At 40.1% G+C, this 24,975-nt stretch overlaps 1 protein-coding gene across 14 annotated transcripts in view, besides 1 other annotated feature; it reads right to left on the reverse strand.

Moving 5' to 3' along the window:
* The window catches only part of DCAF5 (DDB1 and CUL4 associated factor 5), a 102,317-nt gene that overhangs the window by 35,753 nt on the left and 41,589 nt on the right, over positions 1-24,975 (reverse strand). For 9 of the 14 annotated variants that reach the window (XM_006720298.3, XM_006720297.3, XM_011537278.2 and 6 more), the window contains 2 exons: positions 5,041-5,254; positions 3,315-3,419 (listed from right to left, as the gene is read on the reverse strand). In XM_006720298.3, coding sequence (XP_006720361.1) covers positions 3,315-3,419; positions 5,041-5,254 — 319 coding nt within the window. Of the gene's footprint in view, positions 1-2,570; positions 4,524-5,040; positions 5,255-24,975 lie in introns of those variants that run through there. The other 5 variants (NM_003861.3, XM_017021737.2, NM_001284206.1 and 2 more) reach the window with 2 other exon arrangements.
* Positions 7,239-7,533: a silencer, noted in NCBI's record as "tiled region #2739; K562 Repressive non-DNase unmatched - State 7:EnhWF". NCBI's record gives its function as "represses a minimal TATA promoter and a strong SV40 promoter by Sharpr-MPRA in K562 cells {active_cell/tissue: K562}" and the evidence as "EXISTENCE:reporter gene assay evidence [ECO:0000049][PMID:27701403]".

Below are 24,975 nucleotides of genomic sequence, written 5' to 3' on the forward strand. Positions count from 1 at the left end.
AAAAAGCAAAGTTATAACTTTAGAGGGCCTCTCTGGCCTAGAGAGTACTTACTACTGCATTCCATACCTTGGCTATACCCATATAGTGTCAACCCAGAGAGGTTGAGTGGTGATGTAATGTCTGAGGGAGGCCATTTATCCAAGGCCATTTTGTTGGATTCATAGGGTGCAAGTCAGCTCTTTCCTCCAGGGGATGGGACAGGATGATTTTATGATCACGATTTTTGGGGCCTTGCCATCTATCAAGTTCAAAAGACCAGTATAAGAGATCTCAGTGCTCAGGTACGCCAGTGCTCAGCCTTTTCAAGAAAATCTTATACTTTCTCCTTTTGTGTACATCCTACTTTCAGCAAGATGTAGGGACTATTAGACCAGGCATCATATGAGACTAAAGCAAGAAATACTTTAAATGATCAGACTATCCAGTTCGAGGCAAACATGCTTGCTAGACTGAAAGACTTGCTTACCAGAAGCCTGAGCCATTCTATTGGACTCACAATCTAGGACAAGAGCCATTTAAGGAATTGTGAAAGAGAAGGAACAAGAGCCAAGTGCTGTCTTATATGTGCATGCCAGAAAAGCCAGCAGGTAGAATACTGGCATTCTTTTTTAACCCTATTAAGAGACTCGCTCACTGAGTATGTAGAGAAGTGTATGAAGCTTAGAAGACAGAATGTACCCAGTCAGGCTTCAGGGAGAAAACAAAACAAAAATCCAAGTAGGAAGTGAAAGCAAGAAGAACCTTTGGGCTCAGGTAGCCTCCAAGGAAAGGAATGCTGTTTTACTGCCAGAGTCCGCACTATATTGCAAGACTAGAAGGTAGGCTTGCTTTAAACAAAAAAAGTAAAAAAGTGTAAGCCTTTAGTTAAGGCTAATTGCTTCTGTTGATACCCAGCCAACCTGATGTCACTTTTGTCACCTGATCTGATGCTAGAAGTTATCAAACTTGAATAATTATAATATACTAGAAAGAAACAAACTATGTATTTGTAGCCAAAAGGGGGGAAGACAGATTGTATAAAGGGCTTTGAGTGCAAATCTCAAAGAGGGTACCATCTGGCAATGTTATGTGAATGTATCTATCACAGCATCAGGCATACAGTAAATGCTCAGTAAATATATGCTCTCTTATTTTAAAAGATGGAGGAAGGAAAAAGACATGAAGTTAGGAAGCCTTCAGCAGGAAGCAGGAAAAAGGAACTTGTCTCCATGAGTTAGTGACAGACCATGGCACTAAACATGAGAAAAAACATCTTGCTGAATGAAGCACAGAGGTTTCAAACTGGTGGATCCAGAGCAGAATAGGTATGGTGCACAGATTTGTTTCATCTATACAATAAAGTATGAATTTGTTGTAATATTTTAAAACCAAGAGACCTTACATAAAAATCTTTATTTCTGTCCTCTCTTGAAAAAAATCGGAGGCCCTGACAACAACGGGCTAAAGCTGTACAGAAGCTGGCCCATTTAGATGGGATGTGGGCTCTCCACAATCCCCACCACTCCTTAATGTTTACTCCTAGCCCAATCCACTTATTTTTGCTGCCTGTCTTGCTCCTGTCCGCAACAAGTTGTGATCATTTGTACAGTGAAAAGGGGTCTCTATTGAGAGCCCAAAAATCTGGGTTCTAGCCCTGGTTTGCCTACAAACTTGTATGTGTTGTGACTTGTGACCTCTCTGAGACTCAGTTTACTCATCTGTGAAAGAAAAGGTTTGTATAAAATGATCTCTAATAGCTCTATAATTAGAATTCATCTACAGTGGTGGCAATGAGCATGAGGGAGACACAAAGGAGGTTCAGATATTTCACACTTTATTCCCCAAGTCTAATTTCTTGAAATGTTAATTTTATTTTGAGGCTAATGAATTACCTAGTGAACCTAGGATAGTTTAAAAAGAAGTACACGTACTCTGAAGAATATCTGGGTCCATCTGTATGGACTGAATAATCTCATAATTAAAAGCCAGATGACTGTCTCAGATAAATAGGATCTCTTACTGCTTTTCTCATCCATGTTCATTCCTATTACGGAAATTCTCAGATTCCTGTCTGGGATGGTTACCCAGCCTATGACTAAATGAAAAGTTCCAGAACACAGAGCCTCAGGCTGTGGGTGTTCTCAGAGCACACAGGAATGAGGTCAAATATAAAGCCCAATATAAGGAAAAGGCAGGCTATGGAAACTGAAAGCAGAAAAAAAGATTCTGTCTAGACTCATCAAAGAATATACATGTCAGTCCTGCAGGTCACACTGTAACTGTGACAACTGCTGCCTTGAGTGTGGAAAGTCAGAGCCTATAAATCACCTTTGAGACATGTTCTAGGACTGGGACAGTAAGTCTGACTTCTTGTGCACACTTAAAAAAAACTATAAGTTCAGTAGATTAGTTCCACTATAAATCCATTATTTAATTCATCCTCCTAATTGGATGAATTATTTAATTCATCCATCCTTCCAGGCCTCTGGAAGTTGAACAGGAAAAATCATACTTATCAATCCTGATTTACAGTTAGAGAAGACTTAGGCCCACAAAGCTAAATACCACACATTGACCAACGTACTCAAGATTTACTTCAACAAATTTTTATTGTGTTCTCACTGTGTGCCAGGATTTGGAGACAAGACAATGATGAATTAGCTACATTTCTTAGTCCCTAAGGAGTCAACAAAAAAGCCAAATATAAATCTCTGTATTTTATATACCTCTAACTATTTCAGGAATATGAACAGACTTTTAAGACTTTAACTCTGTTAACTGACCCAAAGTTAGATTCAATGACTTTGCATCTTCTTTCAAGGAAAACCACTTACCCCAGCCAAAAAGAAGTCTTGTCTGTCAGAGAGAATAAAATACCCATAAAACTCTTCCCATAGGACAAGTCACAAATAATAAATTAGTCAAATCTAAATAGAGAAAAATCAAAAGCCATTCAATACTTTTATAATTATATATAAACTGAAAGACAGAAACAATGATATCTTTGATGTATATACCTAGGACTATCACAAAATACCTTCTGTGGCTCTGCCTATGACAATACCTGCCCCAATGCATCTGAGCAAAATGGGTAATTATAATCCGGATCACAGGTTCTCAACCAGGGGCAATTTTCCCCCCAGGGGACAATGTCTGGAGACATTTTTGGTTGCCTGGAGGATAACTTAGGATGATATTACCGGCTTCTAGTAGGAAGAGGCTAGGGATACTGCTAACCATCTTATAATGCATAGGACAGCTCCACACAACAAAGAACTATCTAGCCAAAATGTTAACAATGATAAGGATGGGAAACCATGGTCTAGGTGCTTACATGTTGGCTAGAGGTCTTTGTTCTGGGTCTTCTAAGGTCCATGAAGATAGGCTTTGTTGCTAAACACAACCTGAAGAAAATCACCTTTCCCTCAGCCTCTGGTTTCTGGAAATAAAGCCTAGTAAACTATTAATATCACCTTCACTGCATGCTCTATTATTCAACAAAACAAGAATTACATGCATAAGAAGTTGACAAAGGATAGGAAATCAACAAAAGCAAAGAAAGAAGGAAAAAAGGAAGAGAGGGAGAGACTTGATTGTCATTTCCACAGCCAGACAAAGCTAAATCAACCATTCTGTATATCTGTTCTATTGAGAGTCTGATCGCCTATAGAAACTGTTTCTTCCCACCCAAGAAACAAATTCCCTGCAGTGCCATACAGGTATATACAAATTAAGTCATTCAGGTACTGTGGGCACCCCAAGGAGACATCACTGAGGCCACCTAGTGGTCTCCAGTATGGATCTCAGCTAAGTAGGCCCTAAGACTCCAACATGAGTATAAATTCTGAATTTGGATATATAGTCTCTATTTATAAGAGAGGAAATCTCTAGTTCAGAAAACTTAAAAGAACATTCTCATCTATCTACACGCAAGACAATTCAACAGGCATTTATTCGGCTCCTATTACATCTACTAATCCTTAAACTATGACATTAGGAAGCCTCTAGCAACCCCCATCTAAGGAGAAAAATCCTAGCTTTTACTTCAAAAAGCGAGGTCTTGCCAGTTTCTCAAAGAAATTTTTCTTTTATGCCTCTTTTATATTTCTTTTATGCCAAAAATAACTCTAAAGAGGTGGGGTACAGCATATAAGAATTTTAAGTCAAAATTTGACATAGTTGACCCAAAGATAAGAACACTAAACATTAGCGAGAGACTAAGGTTTTTCTTTTTCCCAATCTATATGTGAAATAGCAATAAGATTTGTTGTGCTTGAGAATAAAAAATTCTATTTGTTTATTTGATCAGTCTTTCCTTAGATTTGTCTTTCTTCCCATTTGTCTTTCCTCGGCTTGGTGACCCAGATTAGCCCAACTGGTCACTGACACTTCAGAACTTCTATGGTTAAGACAGAAAGGTGCAAGAAGGCCAAGTATATTCTTAAACTGCCAGCTTTAAGTCAACATCAGCATCTCCATTCCTGGTGAGACTCAGAAAAGGCTGGAAACTCACAGCTTGGGCTCTCCATTTCCAGTTGTGATGCTGGCAGTAAAAAGAAAAAGAGTCAGCATCTGGCTCCCTCTCAAACAAAGCTGCTTACCCCATTTCATCCAAGAAAAAGATGGCATCCCAAGAGGCCATTCAAGATACATGTCTCTTGGATGGTACTTAGGGTGTTTCATTCATCATTGTGTTTTATTGGTTTCTTTTTTTTAATGTCTCTCTCACCAGCAGGCTAATTTTCCATGGATTCCCTCTCCTTTCTTCTGAAATGGCACATTCTTAGAATCTTAAAATCTGTTCACAAACTTGGCAGAGCTAGGTGGCTCAGAACCATATCGTGGCCAGCCTTGGTTTATGGTGTGTGCCTTGTATTTACCCATTGACAGCCTTGATAAAGAAACTCACTATTATTAAGTCAGAACATCTCCAGGCACTCACTGTTTCCCCTTAATTGTTTCTACCTGACATAATGGTAATGAGAAATAAAGACCAGTATAGAAAGAACAATCAGAAAGAAAAGCATAAGTGTGAGATGCAGGAGGCAGACAGCATTTACCTGGTCACGATCTCCTGCAAAACAGCAGCTTTTCATGGTGCATGAGTTGAAGTAACCCTGATTGTCAAACTGAAACACAGGCAGGCGGGAATGGATGTCATAGAGCACAGGGGGCAGGCGTCGCCTCAGGGCCAGGAGCTGGGTCCCGTTGCTGTTGAATCGTACACTCATGGCACTTTGGAGGGACAGGTTTCCACCATAGCGCAGGAGAGAACTGGAAGGCACAAGGCACAGGAATCAGGCATGAGATAGGCTAAACAAGAGTCTGAAAAACACATGTTTGCCTATGACCTCCTGTCAAGCTTGCATAGCTGAATTTCAGCAAAAGGATATTTCTGTGCAGTGGCTAGAATAATGAGGGTAGCAACGCTTCCTTCGTTACTTTAAAACAAGTTACTTCAATTGTCAGTTCTCTTGCTCAGTCTCCAAAAGATGAATTACCAGTAAAGTTACAAGAAAAGGATAACAAAAACATCTTGAAAGAAGAGACATATTAAAATAATGATTTTCTTTACCCAAGCTAACTGCACAACCAAAAGCATACTCGTCAAGACCCTGAGAAGTGGGTTGTATCCACTCTAACTGGGTAGTCATGGACAGTGTTTAAGCAATATAGTCATCCTTCATATTAGAGATACAAGAACCATCAGTAAAAACAATAGGCCGGGTGCAGTGGTTCAGGCCTTTAATCCCAGCACTTTGGGAGTCTGAGGCAGGAGGATCACTTGAGCCCAAGAGTTTGAGACCAGCCCTGGCAACATAATGAGACTTTGTCTCTACAAAAAAATTAAAAAATTAGCCAGGCATGGTGGCATGTGCCTGTAGTCCCAGCTGCTCAGGAGGCTGAGGAGGGAGCGCCACTTGAGCCTAGGGGGTTGAAGCTGCAGTGAGCCATGGTCACGCCACTGCACTCCAGCCTGGGTGAGAGAACAAGACTCCATCTCAAAAAATTGAACAATAGAAACTTGTTTATAATCGATAATTTGTCAATCATAATCATTTCATTACTTAATTTTGAATTTTTAATCTGTTCACAAAGAATTTTTATATTCTATATAGCATGATAATAAGTATTAAAGACAATTCTTAAATTTAAATGCAGAGCAAGCAGTGCAACAATTAGAAAAGGAAAATGACTTGTTTTCCTTTACAATTCCCCACAAGTTTATATGTAGCTTTAAAATATACTTTGGTTAATATATAGAACTTCATTTATCTAGTTTCACTAAAGAGTACTATGTTCTGGTTCACCTAATATTCTTCTGCAGTTTCATAAGATTCACATTTTTTAAAAAGTTTCACACAGTATGGTTCTAAATAATTTCTTTTGATGACTCAGAAGGTACTTTCAACATTATAGTGAACCAGGATGGCCATGAACATTAACAAGTATATACAGTACTAATTTTTAAAGGTTGTTGGGGGTGGTAAGTGTGATCTTTCAGGCAGTAAAGATCACTATTTTATTACAGAGGGATGACTGCTCATAGTCCATGTCAAAACCAAGTTTTATTTTGTATGTTGGGTTAATTTTTGGAGCACTGAATTACTGGCAGGAAAGTGAAGTATATATGTTGGGGACACTGTAGACACAAGTGCCACATCAGAACTCACTCTGTCTCATGCAGACATTATTGTCATGGATAGGTAGTGATCCCAGTAGTTTTAGAGAAAAAAGTTTATAAATTCTGGAGAATCACAGACCTGAAAAGGGCCTCAAGATGCCTAAATTAGAGCCTAACAGATTTATCTGAAACATTTTAAAGAAGTTTTAATCGCATTGTACCAAGTGAAAAAAGAGCTATATATTACCAGAAGAGAGTTAATATTGAAGGAAGATAACACATTTTCTTTTTTTGCCAAGAGAATGGTGGGGAAAATTAAGTGGACAAGAAAAGAGCTATCCTATCCTATGGGAAGGGAAGCCCTGAAACCACAGTACAAAGGCAGCTGCCAACCTAGCTTGGTCACAAAAACAGCCTGTACCAACACCAGCCCCAGTCAGTCCTGTGTCCCCCAAAGCAGTCTTCTCACCAAAGGAAGGAATGCTCTGGTAGTGCAGCTATGTGTGGAAACAAGCCTTGGGCAAAACAACCTGTAATCCTTTTAGGATTGGAATGAAAGTAAAGAGGGAAGACTTAGAAAACCCTCCCTAGAATTCCAGACATCAAGGAGGGGCCTGGTATCCCTGCAGGCCCCAAGTAGTAATCCCTGCAGAGAAATGCCCTTATAATGGTCCTAAACACAGGCCACACTCTCTTGCATACAGAAAATGAATGACAGGATTGTTAGAGACCAGGCATTTCCTTTACAGGGTGCTGTGGCTGCGACAGGCATGTGGTGTTATCTAAACACTGAACTCAAAAACAATGAGAGGCTTTCAATCCAACATCAGTATGGAGTGTGCAAATAAACCAGCATTTGTAGGACTGACTAGGAGTTGGGGGTTGGAAACAAGAGTCAACAGAAAGAGACTTGGCCAGCCTCACCACCCATAGCAGCAGGGGTTTGCAGCAGCTCAGGCATCCTTGAGAGGAAAGCTAGGGCCTCTGGCAAACACCCTTTCCATCTGTTAACAGGAACTTCCTCTGCCCATTCTAGTCAGGCCTGTAGAGGAGTCTGCCCAGGACAGGCATGTGGGCCATCCCAACCCCACCCAAGCTCCCTGACCCACCATCTGCAGTCTGATCACACTATAGGAATTTGGTTGTGGGCTCCAGGATAGTAACTAACTTTTCTCTTGCCTATGCTTCTGGGCAGGGAACTCTGACCTCTCACACAAAGAAAGTACAAAGGAATCTCACTCCTAGAATGCTTAGGGGTGCTATTTAAAGAGCAGCAGCCACCAACACTGAAAACTTCATGTTTTGTCACAAAATTCTATTCCTTCCAGAGGGATGAAATGACACCTGAAATCCAGAAAGTAAGTTACATTAACTGTAATTTATCAGCAGGGGTCTACAGCTGGCCACTCCTGCTGAGAATGATAAGGATGATCTGGTTTGCCGGGAAGGCAAAGCTTGGAAGCAGTCTGCCCTCATAGTCAAGATACAAAGATGATGTCAAAGATTCTGGCTTCAAGTGTAAGATGCATGAAAAATCATCTAGGACTTTAAAAAATGTAGATTCTCAGGATTCCCACCCCCTGTCCCCCACAATATTCTAATTCAATCTGGGAAGTGGGCCCAGGTATCTGAATTTAACCAGCAACACCAGTTAATTGTGATACAGGTAGCTTTCAAACCACACTGTGAGAAACATGATTCCATTTTGGAATTTGTGGGGTTGGGGGTGGAGAGAAAACAAGGCAGAGAAAAAAGAAATTATCAAAGTCAATGAAAAGCTAACCATACAACATGGCACTTTTTATGGTCTCATGTCTGTTCGCAGAAGGATCTCCAATTCCTCTTCAGATCAGAGTTATACTCCTGTCCTCAACACATTCCCTGAAGAAGAAATTTCTCATTTCCTCTTGAAGAAATGGGGGTGCCTCTATACAAACAAGAATGCCTCAATCCTGACTTGCTTTCTAGACACTTATCTTGATAATGAAAATGCCACTGTCTCTACTCCTTCAGAGAAGTGGCCACCAATACATTCAAATGAGATGAGCAATATATTGAAAGAACTAGTAAAACATGTTAACAGTGAATTCAAATAAAAATATCTTTATAAGAAAAATTAATGAAATACATCTACCCCAACCTATCTTCATCCAAGGATTTGCTATAAAACACAAGAACAGGGTAGGAGGTGATCCAAGGTGATCCAAAAGACCTAGGGCGAAAAGCAAGAACACCTCAGAACATCAGGAAAACATTCCTCACAAATGTGGTCTCCTGTGGGGTTTATTTTGTTTTGTTTTGTTTTTTTAAGTACACACACACACACAAAAACCACTCAATTGGACTTCTTTATTGCTCTGGTGGGGTAAAAAGAACATTTAAAAAAGTACTTAGCCAAGGCTAAAGCCTGGGAACACAAGAGAAACAGGCCAAGGCTGTTTCCAGGGAAAGTGATTGAGCGTATCACTTCTAGCACAACATAGGGAATTGAAAAAGCTTCCAAGATCAGGCTCTGTGGACCTAGATTACTATAAATCCATGATTAACTAATCCATCTGATACACCTGGTGGTACCAACAAGATTTTCCAAAGACCACTGGCATGAATTTCCTCATTGTTTCCACGTGAAAGCTCTATAAGACCGGTGGAATGCTTGGGGTCGAGGCACTACTATCCTAACTCACAGACATCAGAGCTGGTGTCGTATCCCAAGTAGAGAGAGAAAAGCAAGGTCCTTTCTATGGGAGAAAGTCTCTCCCCATCACAGTTTCTGATTTAAGGCAGGATGATCTATAAGGAATATGGGATGTTTTGTATTTCCTATAATACAACCCACAGAATATGACAAATCCTAGAAGATACTAGAACTAGGTAAAAAGTCAGCAAGTTCAGGGAGTCACAGTCCACACTGGTCGCATTCAAGTATGTTTAGAGTCCCGATAATCCATTAACCATTTATTTTATGTGAGTTGGAAGGGAGATGAAGAACCTGGGCTTTCTCTTTTGTTTTCCTAATGCACTCCTCAGTCCCAAGACTGAAACCTCCAGAGGGAACCAGAACTGTCGGACAACCAACCCAAGGAAGACACATTGCGATCTGTGAATGAACACATTTATTTTCCCCAGAACATGATTCACTGCCACATTTCTCTGGCTTGATATACAGATGAATTCAGTATACTTTTTGAATCTCCATAAATTTAAGTTTGACTGAAGTTGGCAGAAAGGCTTGACTAAATTTCTGTAAAGAAATCTTTATATAATCAAATGGCATATCCAGCCCTTTCATGAAGCACATATGGATGGCGGGCACTGCAGTGTTTCTAATCATTATCTTCCAGAACAGGAACATGCCCAGAGTGGATGTGTTCTAGAGCCCAGAACGCTTCAACTTTTTTGGCCCACAGGTTCCAAAAGCCCCACAGAACCAATCAAGATCTCAAAGCAAATTAAGAGGCAGTATAATAACAGATTTATTATCATGACTTTCCACAAAATAAGGGACTCAACATTTAGTCATTTGAGTTTATCAGATGGCCTGGCTTATTCAAAAACGCCCTCTACCCAAAAGCTGGTGAAATAACAATTTTCATAAATAGCCATTTAATCTTCACCTTACATAGTATCAGCCCTGACCTCACAGTGCATAAAACTGGGAAGAGTTCAATGAATAGTCGTTGGCAAGAAGGAAAAAAGCAAGGGGAAGGAGGGAGACTGAGATGGCAGTTGCTACAGCAACAGTAACAGTGCAGAAGGAGGGGGTGGGAGGATATGCAGGTAAACAGGCAGTCTCTGATGGCAAGACAAGAAGTTGGGGTGGATGCACTGAGTATTAGGTGACAAGGCCACAAAGCTAGAGGAATGCTGAAGAGGAAAGAAGAAAAGTCTGGAAAAAAATCCTAAGCAGAAGAGGGTTTGAAAAGAAAAATCATGATTTAGTACTTTCTAAAAAGAACTCTTATGCAAACAATTGAAAACAAGAGAAGAGAGAAAGGTCAAGGAAAGAATCCTTTCCTCCAACTGCTGACTGATGAGACACGATTACAGGAAAACAGCTTGTTTCATACAGGAGCCACTCATTGAGAACATGTCCAAAAACCAAAATCACCTCTAGTTGGCAATAATATGAATGCCTCAGAACAATAGCTTTAAAATTTTTTTATAGTAACCCTTCATAATTTTATACTGCATCCTCGTACACCCACATTAATTTAGCATAAATTCATTAAACAATAATTAGCACCTACTATATGCAATGTACTTTCTATTCTATATTTTTTATTTAAGAAATACTTGTGACCATCTAAATTGATTTCATCACCCACTGGATTATTATTATTATTATTTTTTTTTTTTTTTTTTTTTTGAGACAGGGTCTCACTTTGTCACCCAGGCTGGAGTGCAGTGGTGCAATCTTGGCCCACTGCAAGTTCCGCCTCCCAGGTTCAAGCAACTCTCCTGCCTCAGCCTCCCCAGCAGCTGGGATTACAGGCGGGCACCACTATGCCTGGCTAATTTTTGTATTTTTAGTAAAGACAGGGTTTTGCCATGTTGACCAGGCTGGTCTTGAACTCTACTGACCTCAAGTGATCTCCCCGCCTCAGCCTCCCAAAGTGCTGGGATTTCAGGCATGAGCCACCATGCCCGGCCACCCACTGGATTATTGAAAGAGCTTCCTAGCTTGTCTCTGCTTTCATTTTTGGCCCATGCTTCAGTTTATCCTTAACAAAGCAGCCAGAGGAGATGCTGAACCATGAATCTAATCCTATCATTCCTTTGCTGAAAACCCTCCAGCGGCTCCCCATTTCAACTAGAGTAAAAACCAAATTCCTTATAATGCCAGCAAGGCCCTAGACAATACCCCCTACCCTCATCCTTTATGTCTGTGACCCCACCTCCTAGGACTCTCTTACCTTATTCAACTTCAACCACATGGTGCCTCTTCACTGCTCCTAGAACATGCCAGGCATGCTTCTGCTGCAGAGCCGTAGTACTTACAGATCCTGCAGCCTAGAATGTTCCTCCCTAGGTCTGAGCATAGTTCATTCATTCAGTCTTTATTCAAATATCCTCCTCAATTAGGCCTTTCCTGACACCTTATGCAGAAATACAACTTCTCCAATGCTTCCTCCCTGGCCCACTTCATTTTCCTCTACTGCATCAATCACCATCTTACATACCATATATTTTTACATATTTATTTTGTTTCCTATTTGTCTTTTCCCACTAGATGATTATCTTTTACATCTTTTCTTGGTGTATCCCATGCTTAAACGGTGCCAGACAATAATAGGCATTTGATAATCAGCTGTTGAATGAACAATCTAATAGATCATAAGCAGCAGTTTTAAAAACACTGACTTGGCCAGGCACGGCGGCTCACGCCTGTAATCCCAGCACTTTGGGAGGCCGAGACAGGCGGATCACGAGGTCAGGAGATCAAGACCATCCTTGCTAACACGGTGAAACTCTGTCTCTACTAAAAATACAAAAAAAAAAAAAAAAAAAAATTAGCCGGGCGTAGTGGCAGGCACCTGTAGTCCCAGCTACTCAGGAGGCTGAGGCAGGAGAATGGCATGAGGAGGCGGAGCTTGTAGTGAGCCGAGATCACACCACTGCACTCCAGCCTGGCCGACTGAGCGAGACTCTGTCTCCAAAAAAAAAAAAAAAAAAAAAAGAAAAGAAAAAAAAGAAAAACACTGACTTAAAACGTTTTTAAAACAAAACTAACAGGCCTGGCGCAGTGGCTCACACCTGTAATCCCAGCACTTTGGGAGGCCAAGGTGGGCAGATCACGAGGTCAAGAGATCGAGACCATCCTGGCCAACATGGTGAAACCCAGTCTCTACTAAAAATTTAAAAAATTAGCTGGGCATGGTGGTCCACACCTGTAGTATCAGCTACTTGGGAGGCTGAGGCAAAAGAATCGCTTGAACCTGGGAGGCGGAGGTTGCAGTGAGCTGAGATTGCACCACGGCACTCCAGCCTGGCAACAGAGTGGGACTCTGTCTCAACACACACACACACACACACACACACACACACACACACACACACACACAACTAACAAAGCAAAAACAGGCTCCATCGAGATTCACATGGCTCTTAACATTTGTCTACCCATGAAACCTGATCTCGAGGGGCAAGCAGCAGAACAGCATAAAATCAGATAAACAATAGTAAGCTTGGAGAGCATCTGAGTCAAAGTCCTCCTACATAGGTGCATAGGTGGAGATCTGTGGTCCACAGTGATTTATCAATGACCATCCAGGTCTCTACATCTCACATGAAGCCATGACGCCACCATACATCCTTTAAGTGAGTTAAATTCATCCATGTGCTAATCATGTAAGGATCCAACAAGATAATTTAACAGGTAAGCAAGTATCTTAATTATATCTTAGACTTTAAAGCAAGTTCCTGGCTGGGCATGGTGGTTCATGCCTGTAATCCCAACACTTTGGGAGGCCCAAGCAAGAGAATTGCTTGAGCTTAGGGGTTTGAGGCCAGCCTGGGCAACAAAGTGAAACCCTGTCTCTACAAAAAAAAAATACAAAAATTAGCCGAGCATAGTGGCACATGCCTGTAGTCCCAGCTACTCAGAAGGCTGAGGTGGGAGGATCAACTGAGCCACTGCACTGCAGCCTGGGTGACAGAATAAGACACTGTCTCAAAGAATAAAATAACATTAAAAAAAAAAGTTTCTGATATTTGCAGAAAAGAAGTTCAAAAGGAAAATTATTTAAGCTTTAAAAGGAAGCCAATTACAAGTTAAAAGAAAGTAGATTCATCTACCATGTTTCAGAAAGTGACCAGTGAATTCAGCAGGTATTAAATACATGTCCTACCCAATTATGCTCAAAAATAGATAGTGATATACTATACATATTGATGGATATATGGATATCAATAGGAAGATACATTAACTAGACTATAGAACTTGGGTCATTTTTATTTTCCTTATAGCTTTCATTTTATTTTCCAAGTTTTTCTACAATGAATATAAACTTCTATAATCAGAAGGAAATGTCTTCTCACATATACTCCCTCTTTTAAAAAGGGTCCATGGAAGAAAGCTTTGAGAAAAGTATGAGAATAGGGAATTTAGAGAGCCTCTTAATGGAAACTTCACATAATAAACTGACCCATAGGATTCTGGTACAAATGCTAAATTTGAAATCCAGTCATTATTTTAAATCCATATAATAACAGTCAAACAAAAATTTTCAAAGGTCTCTGAAATTCAATCTTAGTGTCCCTTACCATCCTTCTCAATGAGGGCAAATAATATCCCTCCTTTGGTAGATTTCTAGATACAAAACAAGTTTCCCTTGGTTAGCATTGGACATAGTCACCAAGTTAGGTCTGAAACTACACTCAGTTTTATTTCTTTCTACAGATCCACCATCCCACTTCCAAAGTATCCATAAACAAATGGGAAAGTTAAGTGATCAGAATAGAAAACAGATTCAAAACACACAAGTATTTTATGCATAATCCAGAAATATTAGCAGTGTTCTTGGAAAGTCTTCTACATATGGGCAAATTCATGGGTAAAAGAAGCCAAGATTATTATTGAGAGTATACTAAGAAGTCCCTATCTAAAATATGTGACTCCCAACACATAAAACATAAGGTCAAACCTGGAATTACAAAATAGAAAGTTCAAACTACAAAGAATTCACTGAAGGGATTATATCAACATAGATACCCCTGAAGAAGCAACAAGTTCTTCAGTAAATTTAATTTCCAAAATGTTTTCATGTATATCATATCATCTAATCCTTAAAATAATCCTATAAAATAGACAGTGTGGTTAACATCAACCTATGTTACACTGGAGGAGACCAAGGTCCTGAGTAATTATATGACTTGACCCTGACCACACAATCAAGCAGCCGAAATAGAAGCAAGTTTTTTCTGCTTCTTGGTTCAACAAGATTTCACAGAATATGCTGTGGAGATGGATTATTCCACCTATTAAAAAGAACAGCATCAGACTGCAATGCATCAGGGCCAGAAGGATTCATCTAAGTCATTCACTTCACACCCTTCCCTACAATTCAGTAATTCATTTATTCATGCATACTTTCATTTAAATATTTATTGAATACCTGCTGACTATCTTAGGCACTGTGTCACACACATGGATTCAAAGATGTTACCGTTTCCATGAACAGTGCTGTAATAAGGGGAAGATCTGCCAAGAGAGGACAGAGGAAGAATAACTGCCCTCTACTGGGGAGACAGGAGTGGGAGTAGTCACAAAAGACTTCCTGGAAGAAAAACCTAAGCTGACGCAACAGAGAGTCAAAGGTTGACTCAAATTCTTAACTGGCAAAAGAAGATAAATCTGGATATGTTAATACAGTCATGCATCGCTTAATGACAGGAATATGTTCTACGAAATGTGTTGTTAGGCAATTTTGTTGTGTAAACATTATAGAGAGTATTCACACAAACCTAGAAGGTATAGCCTACTACACACCCCAGCTATGTGGTATAACCTAGGCTACAAACCTGTACAGCATGTTACTATATGTTATTATATGGAACACCAAATGCCATAGGCAACTGTAACACAATGGGTAAGTATTTGTGTATCTAAACATTTAAAAGCCACAGTAAAAATACAGTATAAAAGATTTAAAAAAATGGTACACCTGTATAGGGTATCCACCATGAATAGCGCTTGCAGGACTGGAAGTTGCTCTGGGTGAGTCTGTGAGTGAGTGATGAATGAATGTGAAGGCCTAGGACATTACTGTACACTACCACCATAGACTATATAAATATTACACACAGGCTACGCTACATTTATTTAAAAATATTTTTCTTTCTGCAATAATTAACCTTAGTTTACTATAACTTTTTTTTTTTTTTTTTTTGAGACAAAGTCTCACTCTGTCACCCAGGCTGGAGTGCAGTGGTGTGATCTCGGTTCACTGCAACCTCCGCCTCCTGAGTTCAAGTGATTCTCCTGCTTCAGCCTCCTGAGCAGCTGGGATTACAGGCACACGTCACCATGCCCGGCTAATTTTTGTATTTTTAGTAGAGATAGGGTTTCACCATGTTGGCCAGGCTGGTCTCGAACTCCCGACCTCAAGTGATCCCTGCCTCAGCCTCCCAAAGTGCTGGGATTACGGGCATGAGCCACCGCGCCCGACCATTAGTTTACTATAACTTTTTTACTTTATAAACTTTTTTACTGTTTTAACTTTTTGACTCTTGTTATAATACTTAGCTTAAAACAGGCACATTGTGCAGCTGTACAAAAGCACTTTCCTTCTTTATATCCTTATTCTTTTTTTTTTTTTTTACTTTTTAAACTTTTTATTTTGTTAAAAACAAAGACACACACACACACACACACACACACACATATTAGCCTAGACCTACACAGGGTCAGGCTCATCAATATCACTATCTTCTACCTTCACATCTGTTCTACTAACATCTTCAGGGTCGATAATACACGTGGAACTATCATCTCTTATGATAATGCCTTCTTCTGGAATACCTCCTGAAGGACCTGCCTGAAGCTGCTTTACAGTAAACTTTTTTTAATAAGTAGGAATATACACTAAAATAACTATAAGAAATACAATACAGTAAACAGGTAAACCAGTAACACAGCTGTTTATTATCAAGTGTTACGTACTGTACATCATCTTATGTACTACACTTTTATACGACTGGCAGCACAGTATGTTTGTTTACACCAACGTCACCACAAACACATGAAGAATGTGTTGTGCTACATTATGACAGCTACATTACCAGGTGACAGGAATTTTTCAGCTCCATTATAATCTTATGGGACTTTTGTCATACATGTGGGTCCATTATTGACTGAAACATCATTATGCAGAACACACGTGTATATGGACAAATTCTCAACACATACCAATGAGTGAAAAGTCCAGTTGTAGAATGATTATATAGTAGCATACTATTTGTGTGAAAAACATAGAAGCATATGGAAATAATGCCATATATTTTTCTACGGGTACATGTATAAGCATATAAAAACCAAGAAGAAGTTCTGGAAGCATATATTATAAACTCATAATACTCACTACCCCCAGGAGAAAACATGAAGGACCAGGACTAGAAGAGGTAGTCAGAGGGGGCGTTAGCCTGTGGACAGTTTTAAAAGGAGAACATTATTACCTGTTACTTGTATTTCTTTTTCTTTTGAAATAATTATAGATTCAGAGCAAGACACAAGAAATGTACAAGAACGTCCTGTGCATCCTTTATCCAGCCTCTTCCAATGTTACCACCATCTTGCATAGCCATAGTACAATATCACAACCAGGAAAATTACATTGGCACAATCCACAGAATTTATTCAGATTTTATCAGCTATACATGCATTCATTTGTGTTAGGTGAATGTGATAACCACTATGCTATGGAAACTCGCTTGTATAGCTTGTATATGTACATCATGCATAGCTTCATGTAACAATCACTGCAATTAAGATATTTATCTGTACAATCACAAGACTCCCTCATGCAACTTGTCCTCTACTCTCATCTCTAACTCCTGGCAATCAATAATCTGTACTTATCTTGAGAATTATATCATTAATGAGGATTACATAAGTGGAATTATGCAGCATGTATTCTTTTGAGATTGGCTTTTTTTCAGTCAACAAAATTTCCTTAAAGTTCATCCAAGTTGTATCAACACAGTTAGTTCCTTTTCATCACTGAGTAGCAGTCTGTGGTATGAATGTACCACATTCACCTAATGAAGGACATGTGAGTAGTTTCCAGCTTTTGGTTATAAGGAATAAAGCTGCTATGAACATTCATGTACAAGTTTCTGTATAGAAATACATTTCATCTCTCCTAGATATAGATCCAAGAATGAAATTGCTGGGTCATATGGTAAGCTCATCTTTAATATATAAAGGAACTACAAACTGTTTCCCAGAGTGGCTATACCATTACATATTCCCACCAGCAATATGTGAGTGACTGAGTTTCTCCACATCTTTACCAGCATGGCTTGTATTTTAAAAAGCTAAACTAAGAAGTCTGTCAAAGTATTTCAAAACAAACAGAGAGATAACTAGGCATTTTTAATTTCTTTATGGATACACACATCATCAATGAAATATTTTTGTACCCATTTAAAAAAATCAAACCTGAATTTGTTCAAGCTTCTAGATCTAATACCAATTCATGGGAAAAACCTGAGTCAGAGGAATATGCTAAATTACAGTAGAAGAATGCAATCAGCATAAGCTAGAATATAAGAAATTCGTAAGACAAATAATCCAGTTTCTTCAACACATAATTTGCAAGCAAAAGAAGTGAGAGATGGCCGGGTGGGGTGGCTCACGTCTGTAATCCCAGCACTTTGGGAGGCCGAGGTGGGTGGATCACTTGAGGCCAGGAATTCAAGACCAGCCTGGCCAACATGGTGAAACCCCATCTCTACTAAAAATACCAAAAATTAGCCGAGTGTAGCAGCGGGCGCCTGTAATCCCAGCTACTCAGGAGGCTGAGGCAGGAGAATCGCTTGAACCCAGGAGGTGGAGGTTGCAGTGAGCCAAGATAGCGCCATTGCACTCCAGCCTGGGCAACGAGAGCAAAACTCTGTCTTTAAAAAAAAAAAAAGTGAGAGACAGGGGTACCTACAAACTAAAAAGACTTAGAAGTCAAATCATCCAATTGCTTTGTAAGGATTTTGAGTCCTGCTTCACAAAAACCATTGTAACAACTAGATATGAGATGGTATTAAGGAATTATTGTTACTTTTTAGGTGGAATAATATTGTGGTTATGTTTTTTTTTTAATTATCTTTTTATGGAAAGCAGTTTGGTAGTTCCTCAAAAAGTTTAATATAGGATCACCATATGATCCAGTAATTCCACTCCTAGGTGTAATATACCCAAAATAATTGAAAACAGGTTCTCAAAAAAAATTTGTTCACGAATGTTAATGATAGTATCATTCACAATAGCCAGAAGATGGGACAATCCAAACGGCTATCATTAGATGAATGGATAAACAAAATGTGTATATCCATATATGTATAATGTATATATAATAGAATATTATTTAGCCATAAAAAAGAATGAGACACTAATACATGTGGATGAATCTCAAAAACATGATGCTAAGTGAAAGAAGCCAGACAGAAGGTCACATATCGTGATGGCCAATATTAGGTGTCAACTTGACTGGACTCAGGCATGCCTACATGGCTGCTGAAGCATTGTTGCTGTGTGTGTCTGTGAGCCTGTTTCCAGAGGAGACTGAGATGTGAGTCAGTGGGCAGGGAGAACATGACCCGCCTTTAATGTGGGCAGGCATTGTTCCAGTGTAACTAGAACAAAGCTAGCAGAAAAAGGGGGATATTCAGCTTGTTGATGTTCCTTGTTCTCTTTCCAAGCCTGATGCTTTGCTTCCTCTCCTCCTGCCCTTGGACATCAGACTGCAAGTTCTTCTGCCTTTGGACTCTGGGACTTGCACCAGTGGCCTCCTGGGGGCTCTTGGGCCTTTGGCATCAGACTGAAGCCTCTACTGTCGGCCTACCTGGTTTTGAGGCTTTCAGACTTGAACTGACCACTCTACTGGCTTTTCCCATTCTTCAGCTTGCACATAGCCTATCATTCACCTTTGTAATGGTATGAGCCAATTTTCCCTAATAAACTGTCATATATATATATATATATATATATATATATATCTCCTATTGGTTCTGTTCCTCTGGAGAACCCTGAATAATTATACATAGTGTGAAATACCCAGAATAGGTAAATATTATTTTTACTATTCTGCTTTTATCTGTTTTTTGTTTTGTGTTGCTTTTTTTGAGACGGAGTTTCGCTTTTTTTGCCCAGGATGGAGTGCAATGGTTGCAATCTCAGCTCACTGCAACCTCTGCCTCCCAGGTTCAAGCAATTCTCCTGCCTCAGCCCCCCGAGTAGCTGGAATTACAGGGGCCCACCACTACGCCCGGCTAATTTTGTATTTTTAATAGAGACAGGGTTTCACTATGTTGGCCAGGCTGGTCTCAAACTCCTGACCTCAGGTGATCCACCCTCCTTGGCCTCCCAAAGTGCTGGGATTACAGGCATGAGCCACCGTGCCCACCTTAACTGTTTTTTAAATTTTTATTTATTTTTAGTGATAGGGTCTCATTCTGTCACACAGGATGGAGTGCAGTGGTGCAATCATGGCTCACTGCAGCCTCAACCTCCTGGGCTCAAGCGATCCTCCTGCCTCAGCCTCTCCAGTATCTAGGACTGCAGACTCTGCCACTACCCCACCTGGCTAATTTTTAAAAGAATACTTTTGTAGAGATAGGGTGTATGTTGCCCAGGCATGTCTTGAACTCCTAGCCTCAAGCAATCCCCTTGCCTGGGGCTCCCAAAGTGCTAGGATTACAGGCGTGAGCCACTGCACCCAGCCTACTTTTACACATATTTGAAAAAAAGTCTTACCATAAAAATTTTTAAGAAGAAAACGTCAACATTTGATTTTAAAATAAGAAAGCTGGCTGGGCGCGGTGGCTCATGCCTGTAATTCCAGCACATTGGGAGGCTGAGATGAGTGGATCACTTGAAGTCAGGAGTTCAAGACCAACCTGGCCAACATGGTGAAACCCCATCTCTACTAAAAATACAAAAAAATTAACCGGGCATGGTGGCACATGCCTGCAGTCCCAGCTACTTGGGAGGCTGAGGCAGGAGAATCGCCTGAACCCAAGAGGTGGAAGCTGCAGTGAGCCGAGATTGCACCACTGCATTCCAGCCTGGGTAACAGAGCAAGACTTTGTCTCAAAAAATAAATAAATAATTAAATAATTAAATAAGAAAGTCCATTTGATTTAGGTTTTGATATTATCTACTTCTGAATAACTGGACTTGGGGAATACGAAAGGAAGAATATGAAATGATACTTGTTTGCAGAGCTCCCCTCCATTTACCAGGCATTCCCCAGATGCTCTGGTCTGAAGCGACGTCTCTTGTCATAAAAGACATTTGTGTCTGGTGAGAAGGAATGGACGCAAGCAATCTCTGGCCTAAACCCCAAAGACCCTGGGTCTGAGTGAACTTGAGCAAATTCAACATGGACCTCTCTGATTAACCACTGCTTCCATCTTGTAAGACCAACAAAATTGCTAAATCACCTTGGGTATTTGCTAAATAATGGCAGAATCAAAGGTCCCACCCCAAACCAACAACTCAATCTCTAGGTATGGGGTCCAGGAAGGAGTGCTTCGACAAGCTCCTCAGGTGATTCTGATGCCCCTTAAAGTTTGAGAATCACTGGGTTAGGAAACCAGTGACCTGGTGTCCTCCAGTGGGCAAAACTGATTCTACACCTCCACCTTGTGGCTTAAAAGCTACAAAGCAACTTCACCAGAATACCTGGCTCTCTGCCACATAACTAATTGACGGTGGCATTCAAAGCCCAGCAAGAAACCTTACACCTCCTCTAAGGATTTATTCCTGAGATACAACATTTGGATTCATGTCATTATACTCAGGGATTAGCAGGTCCATAAACATTATAGAAAGTTAGCTTTGAAAGTATTTTCTAAAAGTTAGCTTTGACTATTTTGGGATGAGTATAACACTATATATTCATTCAATATTTACTAAGTTTCCATAATATTCCAAGCACTGTGCTAGGCACTAGAGATTAAAGATGAATAAAACACGCACCTGCCCTTAAAAATTCATAGAAAAACACAAGTAATAATACATATTAGGACAAATGCCTCCTTTCTGTGAAGCAGCTCCTGGGCACTGGGAAGGAAATCAAAGACAAATACTGGCCTACCGGGAGACAAGACATAGCATATGAATAACTAATGATGGCAAAAGCAGCAACTGAAATGTGCAACATGAATGCCACAGATCATAAGTACTTTACAGAGATTCTGAATGGAGAGATCCTTTCCTCTAGAAGTTAGGGACAGCTGCATTCATTCAACATACACTCTGTGCCAAAATAGTGCCAGGTGCCGGGGGACATGGTGAGTAAAAGCATCTTTAAGAGTATGTAACAGAGAGATCTAGCAAGGAAGTTTTCCCTGATGGATTACCATTTGATCTTGGTAACTATGACATGAACACGTAAAGAAAAATCAAGAAAACAGGAGAAAGCATCCTCTATGTGTATGTGTTTTGGGGGGTGGTGCAAAGGGAGAAGAGACGCAAGCTAAGGAGCCAGTGCAGTCAGAACCTTATGGAGAGACGGAAATGGGTATGAAATGGGGTAGGGATTTAAGCAATGAAAAGAGTGGCCAAGCACTAACACAGAGCAAAGATGTTTATGGCAGAGGGAGGGAGAGGCAGAAGAGGCAAATGGACTTTGAGATTTCAGCCAGGATGATTATAAGACAGACGATGACAATAATAAAAAAACAAAGAAGTTTAAGAAAGGAATACAGTGCTTGGGAGAAAGCAAGCTTTTTATTAAGGAGTTCAGAGGACAGAACACTTGCATGAGTACTGTAAACCTATGTATGGTAAAGATGGGTGAGTAGAAGACAGAAAGAAGGGAGTAGCTTAATAACCAGAAGGCATGCCCCCGACTAAAGCTAATCATTGTGACGAGCAAAATCCCAGTTATCTTCAGCTTTTCTGTTGCAGTTTTCTATAATACCACCAAAATTTCTAGGTCCACCTGACTCTTCTCGTTCTCTCTTTTGTCCCTTTAAGGCAGCTCTGTAAAGAGCCAGTGTTATTGCCACAGCCACTGGAATCGTAGGGAAGAAGATAAATACCCACTTGAAGACAACAGTGGCCTTGGATTCTTTTTTTAAATTTTAAGATACAACATAATACAGGCCAGGCGCGGTGGCTCACACCTGTAATCCCAGCACTTTGGGAGGCTGAGGCGGGTGGATCATGAGGTCAGGAGATTGAGACCATCCTGGCTAACAAGGTGAAACCCCATATCTACTAAACATACAAAAAGAAATTAGCCGGGCGTGGTGGCGGGCGCCTGTAGTCCCAACTACTCAGAAGGCTGAGTCAGGAGAATGGTGTGAACCCGGGAGGCAGAGCTTGCAGTGAGTTGAGATCGCGCCACTCTAGCCTGGGAGACAGAGCAAAACTCTGCCTCAAAAAAAAAAAAAAAGATACAACATAATATGATAACATGCACTAATTCTAAGGGCATTGCTCAATAAAAATTTATATAGGTATACAACCATGAAATTGCCACCCAGATCAAGATATAGAACCCCAGAAGTTTCCCTCATGCCTTCCTTAGTCAATACCTTACCCAGAGGTAACCACTATTCTGACTTCCATAACTTGCCTGTTCTTGAGCATCATGCAAATGGAATCACAGAGATTCTTTTGTATTTGAATTCTTTTATTCAATATTATGACCGTGAGATTCATCCATGTCAATGTGTATATTTATAGTTTGTTGTTTATTTATGTTTGTGTAATATTCTATTGTATGGCTATTCCACAGTTTATTTATCCATTTTCCATTTTCTTTTGATGGATATTTAGGTTGTTCCTAGCTTGTGGCTATTATAAATAAAGCAGCTGTAAATGTTCCTGTACATGTCTTTGGTGGAAATAGGTACTCATTTCTCTTAGATATACTTAAGAGTGAGATTGCTGGGTCATGGAGTTATGGTGTTTAGCTTTAGTAGATACTGACAAATAGATTTCCCTAATGGTTGTACCAATTTGTACTCACCTAAAATGTATGAGTGTTTCAGTTGGTCCATACCCTTGTTAACACCTAATACTATAAGTCTTTTTAATTTTAAACACTCTAGGTGTATACTGACACTCATTGTGGTTTTAATTTGCACTGCTCTCATGAGTGATAAAGTTCAGTACTTTTCAAATGCTTATTGGGTATTTGGATATTTTCTTTGGTAAAGTACCTGTTCAACATTTCTGCTCATTTTTTAAATTGATTTTTTGTTTTTTACTTACTGATTTGTACTTCTTTATAAATTCTGGATATTCTTAATGTATGTATTATGCTTTTTTTTTTCTGATCTGTTCTTGGCTCATCTTTTCACTTACTTTTTTTTTTTTTTTTTTGAGACAGAGTCTCACTCCGTCACCAGGCTAGAGTGCAGTGGTGCAATCTCGGCTCACTGCAACCTCCACCTCCTGGGTTCAAGCCTCCTGCCTCAGCCTCCCAAGTAGCTGGGATTACAGGCACACAACACCACGCCCCACTAATTTTCCTATTTTTTTTTAGTAGAGACAGGGTTTCACCATGTTGGCCAGGCTGGTCTCAAACTCCTGACCTTGTGATCCAACTGCCTCGGCCTCCCACAGTGCTGGGATTACAGGCGTGAGCCACTGCGTCCAGTCCTTTTCACTTACTTAATAGTGTCTTTGGCCAGGCATGGTGGCTCACATCTGTAATCCTAGCACTTCGGTAGGATGAGACAGGAGGACTGTTTGCACCCAGGAGATCGAGACCAGCCTGGGTAACACAAAGAGACGCTTTCTCTAACAGAAACATTTAAAAATTAGCCAGGCATGATAGCATGAGCCTGTGGTCTCAGCTACTTGGGAAGCTGAAGTGGGAGGACTGCTTGAGCCTTGGAGGTCAAGGCTGCAGTAGCCATGATCATGCCACTGCACTCCAGCCTGGGCAACAGACCAAGACCCTGTCTCAAAAAAAAAAAAAAAAAAAAAAAAAAAAAGTGGTGTCTGCTGTGTAAAAGTTCTTAATTTTAATGAAATCCAATGTGTCAATTTTTTCTTTGATGTATAGTGTTTCTGAGGTTTTAAGAAATTTAAGAAATCTTTGTCTACCCTGATGGCCTTGCATTCTGAAAGGAAAGAGGCTAATTCAGGGCAGCCTCATTCATTAAAGTTTCAACAAACATCAGAGCATGAGTGCCTTTTCCAGCCTTTGACATTAAGCCCCTGGGCTTTATTTTCCTATAATGGTATGAGCAACCCTCAAATGCAATGTGGCAGAGATTGTCTGGCTTGTTCAGAAGGCAGAGTTTCATTTAATCTGGTCTCTATAGAAGTAGGATTGGCCCAGGCCCCAAAAAACAGACAGTTAACTGAGAGGTCCCCAAACCCAGAGAGAACCTAAGAGCAATTTCCCGATAGTAGGAACTTGCTCTCATTGCCCATTTTCAGATGTGTCATTTACACAAGTGAAAGCACCGTCTTATAAGATAAGTCTTTATAGGGATTCTCGGCTTGCCCCAGTTTTATTATTGAGTGGGGAAAAAACCACTCTCTTTATTATCCTTGTCAAAGCAAGACACTGTTATCTGTCATAGAACTAACAGTTCCTGACAGAAAATAAAGAGATTGGAAGGGAGAGAGGTAGTGAGTAAGCAGACAGCTAAAACCGGCAATGAAAAGGATGAGACAAGTAGAGTGAGA

The sequence above is a fragment of the Homo sapiens genome, chromosome 14 (assembly GCF_000001405.40).
Source record: "Homo sapiens chromosome 14, GRCh38.p14 Primary Assembly".
In the NCBI taxonomy this organism is placed as follows: domain Eukaryota; kingdom Metazoa; phylum Chordata; class Mammalia; order Primates; family Hominidae; genus Homo; species Homo sapiens.